Source organism: Homo sapiens, chromosome 8 (assembly GCF_000001405.40).
Source record: "Homo sapiens chromosome 8, GRCh38.p14 Primary Assembly".
Taxonomy (NCBI): Eukaryota; Metazoa; Chordata; class Mammalia; order Primates; family Hominidae; genus Homo; species Homo sapiens.
This window is the reverse complement of record NC_000008.11, coordinates 54312603-54317124: the sequence shown is the minus strand read 5'-3', so window position 1 is coordinate 54317124 and position 4522 is coordinate 54312603. Positions and strand designations below refer to the sequence as shown.

The 4522-nt window shown below is 42.1% G+C and overlaps 1 annotated feature.

The window, feature by feature from the left end:
* Positions 582–761: a silencer, noted in NCBI's record as "fragment chr8:55228924-55229103 (GRCh37/hg19 assembly coordinates)". NCBI's record gives its function as "represses an EF-1alpha promoter that drives an FKBP-Casp9 reporter gene in an ReSE screen in phorbol 12-myristate 13-acetate-treated (for megakaryocytic differentiation) K562 erythroleukemia cells {active_cell/tissue: K562(+PMA)}" and the evidence as "EXISTENCE:reporter gene assay evidence [ECO:0000049][PMID:32094911]".

Below are 4522 nucleotides of genomic sequence, written 5' to 3'. Positions count from 1 at the left end.
ACTTGGGTGAAACCCCCTCTCTATGAAAAAATACAAAAATTAGCTGGGCGTGTTGGCGGATGCCTGTAATCCCAGCTACTCAGGAGGCTAAGGCAGAAGAATCACTTAAAACAGGAAGGCAGAGGTTGCAGTGGGCCGAGATCGCACCACTGCACTCCAGCCTGGGCTAAAGAGCGAAACTCCATCAAGAAAAAAAAAAAGTGAGCAAAAAAATCAAAGACATAAAGGAATACGTGAAAAATAATTTTATTATTTAGGCCGGGCGCGGTGGCTCACAACTGTAATCCCAGAACTTTGGGAGGGTGAGGTGGGTGGATCACCTGAGGTCAGGAGTTCAAGGCCAGCCTGACCAACATGGTGAAACTCCGTCTCTACTAAAAAATACAAAATTAGCCAGGTGTGGTGGCACATGCCTATAATCCCAGCTACTTGGGAGGCTGAGGCAGGAGAATCTCTCGAACCCCGGAGGCGGAGGTTGCAGGGAGCCAAGATGGCGCCTTTTCACTCCAGCCTGGGGAACAAGAGCGAAACTCCAAAGCAAAAAAAAAAAGAAAAGAAAGGCCGGGCGCGGTGGCTCACGCCTGTAATCCCAGCACTTTGGGAGGCCGAGGGTGGCTGATCACGAGGTCAGGAGATCAAGACAATCCTGGCTAACACGGTGAAACCCCCGTCTCTACTAAAAATACAAAAAATTAGCCGTACGTGGTAGCGGTCGCCTGTAGTCCCAGCTACTCGGGAGGCTGAGGCAGGAGAATGGCGTGAACCCGGGAGGTGGAGCTTGCAGTGAGCCGAGATTGCGCCACTGCACTCCAGCCTGGGTGACAGAGCGAGATTCCATCTCAAAAAAAGAAAAGAAAGAAACTATTTAAATTTCAAAAAGGTAAAACTAAACTGTAATATTTAGAGATATCACCATAGGTAGAAAAAAAAACAAGTATTTAAAAACAGAAACAAAAACATGGACATTATGATCCCACAATCCATCTCCTGAGTTTACAGGACCCACGATCCCCTCCGGAAAGCACCTACATGGACAAGACCCTCGGGAAAGCACCTACGTGGATACTGTCTGCATTTTCGGTCTGGGCACAAGCAGGTCTGTCTCATGGACCAGGGGAGCTGGAGAAGAAGGCAGCCATGATGGGAACCACGGAGCCCTGGAGTTAGAGGTTGCAGCGAACTGTGATCACATCACTGCACTCCAACCTGGGTGAAACCCCGTCTCTATGAAAAAATGCAAAAATTAGCTGGGCTACTCCAGGCCAGGCTCGTACCAAGGGAACAAGCATTCCTGGTAATTTGCAGAGTGAAGGGGATGCAAACAGAAGACACCTCCCTCTTACAGAAGACACCTCCCTCTTACAGAGACTCAGAGGAGCAGCAGAGAAGTGTAGGCACGTGGAGTAGAAGCTCTTGGCACCAGGCAGAGACCCATGCAGGCAGAGACACCACTTCACCGGCACCGAGCCCAGCTCAGCCTCAACCAAGACAGGCAGCGTAGCCAAAGAACAGTGGAGCCAAACTGACTGCAGAAACTCAGTCTGCTCCTCAGCCTGCAAGTGAAACAGCGCTCCTAGGGAACCTAGAGAAGACAGGGAGGTGGTCCTTTCATGTGGCAGATGGGAGACTAGGATGCTGTAGATTTAGTGGCAAACGTAAGGGACATTCAGGTTTGAGATACAATATCTCCTCTCAAAAATTTTGCAAGGCATTAATTCCACTTTATGGATAAGGAAACTGAGGCCTAGAAAGTTTAAGACACTGGCTCAAAATCATGTACCTAGTAAAAACAGAATCAATAGTGGAGCCAACATTCAAACTCTGTCCAACTTCCAGGCCCAGTGTTCTCAGCAACCCACTTTCCATGGGCCCCTTTTATCTGTAATACACAAATGTTTCAGGCACAAGTGTGACATAAGTTTGTCAGAACACTGGTTTTTACAAAATTCTTTATCACAAATGAGAATTTGTGATATTTGATTTTGGAGGAAGTTGATGTATCTACTAAAGAGGGAGAGAGAGACAGAGAGAAAGAGAGAAAGAGACAGACAGAGAGCGAGAGAGAGAGAGAGAAAGAAATGAGTTCTAAACTCCAATCAGGAAGCCGAACGAAGCATCAAAGGAGAAAGTAGAGGCCAGGCACTGTGGCTCACACCTGTAATCCCAGCACTTTGGGAGGCTGAGGGGTCGGATCACCTGAGGTCAGTCAGGAGTTCCAGACCAGCCTGACCAACATGGTGAAACCCTGTCTCTACTAAAAATACAAAAAAATTAGCCGGGTGTGGTGGCGGGTGCCTATAATCACAGCTACTCAGGAGGCTAAAGCAGGAGAATCGCTTGAATCCAGGAGGTGGAAGTTGCAGTGAGCTGAAAAATCATGCCACTGCATTCTAGCCTGGGCGACAGAGCAAGACTCTGTCTCAAAAACAAACAAACAAACAAACAAAGGAGAAAGCAAGAGAAGAGTGTCCTGGTGCTCAGCAGCACACGCCCTCCTGTTCCCACAGGGTACCATTATTGGACACAAGTCTGTAAGCCCTGTTTAATGCACCACACTGTAGATTAGAAAAGCAAGAGATTTTCCAGAAATTGTGTTTTGAAAAACCCCTTACCCACTGGGATTTACAACTTGAAGACCTTTTTCTCTATATGCTTCCAAGGTTTTACTGCCTGTGTTTTTAAAGCATAATTCTGGCAATATTTCCATTCAGGACACTTTAGCTCAGAAAATCAAAGTGGATCTCAGGTTTCAAAGACCCAAGGGAAAAAGGTCACTATTGAACACACCACTATTTATTGCTGAACCTACAACATTTAAGCTGTCAAATTAGGCTTTGATTTTAATATTCCTCAGTCAGGAAAGTACATGTTTTCAGTAGTGCTCTTTCTTTCATTCTGTTTCTTTCTTTCATTATGTTTCACCCAAACACCTTAATCACAGTCTAACAGCACACATTTTTAAAGCAAAGATAGTAAAATATAAGGAGCCAGTAGTGTGTCTTCACTTCCCAGCCTAAATTGCTAATCACATATTTGCAAGTTTAGTTTGGTTTTGTAGCATGTTCCTAGTGATTTGTGCAGCACTTGTATTACAGTTTTCAGTAAAAAATTGAAGACACGTCAAAGTTTTATATTATTTTCTTTAAAACATCCCTGAAGAAAGCGTGTCCACAAAGTGTGGAAGAGCCTAAACACAGAATGAGATGTCAGCTCAGAAACTGCACCATTCACTATAGAAAATAGTTATTCCCCATTTATCTTTCCAATTTAAATATCACCCATTTACTCCCCTACTCAAGCTGTATTGAAGGATAATTTACATACAATAAAATTCCCCTCTGTTAAGTGTACAGTTGGATGAATTTGGGCAATTGTAAACAGTTGCATAACTACAACGCAGTCAAAATATAAAACATTTCCATTACCCAAAATGTTTCTTCCTGTCCTTTTGCAGCTGGTTCTCTCCCCGACCCCAAGAATGACTGTTCTGCCCTATGTCACTATAGTTTTAGCCATTTCTAGGATTTCATATAAATTAGATCATACATGTGTAGTCTTTTTCTTTCATTAAGCATATTTTTGAGATTCTTCCAGATTGTTACATGTATTAGCATTTCACTCTTTGTTATTGCTGAGTAGTATTCCATATAAGGCCATGTCAAGTTTATCCATTCACCTATTGATGAACATTTGGGCTTTCCAGTTCTGAACTATTATGAATAATTCTTCTATAAATATTACATAAAAGTTTTTTGCACAGACATATGTTTTCATCTCCAAAAGAAAAATATCTAGGACTCAGATTGATGATTCATAGGATAAATAAGTATTTAACATTATAAAACACTGTCAAACCATTTTCCAAAGTGACTGTACAATATTGCATTCCCACAAGCAATGTATGAGAGTTCCAGTTGCTCCATATCTTTTCCAGTATTTGGCATAGTCAGTCCTTTTAGTCCTTTTAGTAATAGTCATTCTAGTGGATGTGTAGTAGTATCACTGCAGTTTCAATTTTCATTTCCCTAATGACTAAGGATGATGTCCACCCTTGCACACTCACTGGCCATTTGCATACCTCCTTTTATGAAGTGCATGTTAATGTCTTTTGACCACTTTTATTTTTAAGCTGTATAAAGTTGAATGTGTTGCAAATATTTGCTTCCAATCTGTAGCTTACTTTATTGCTTTATTAACTTTTATTCTTAAAGTGTTTAACTTTGATGAAACCCATTTTATAACTTGTTTTCTTTTCTACCAGTTTACTTGTAAGGACACCAAAAGTAAATCTCTACGTGGAATGAAGTGATATTTTCAATCTTTATCCATCCCTTCCATCCATTTATCCTCTTAATCCTTTGTGTATCTGGTTATTTAATTAAAACTTGTAAACATCATTTAGCTACCATGGCAATTTTTTTTCTTAGAGATAGGGTTTTGCTCCATTCTGGAGTGCAGTGGCACAATCATAGCTCATTGCAGCCTCGAACTCCTGAGCTCAAACAATTCTCCCACTTCAATC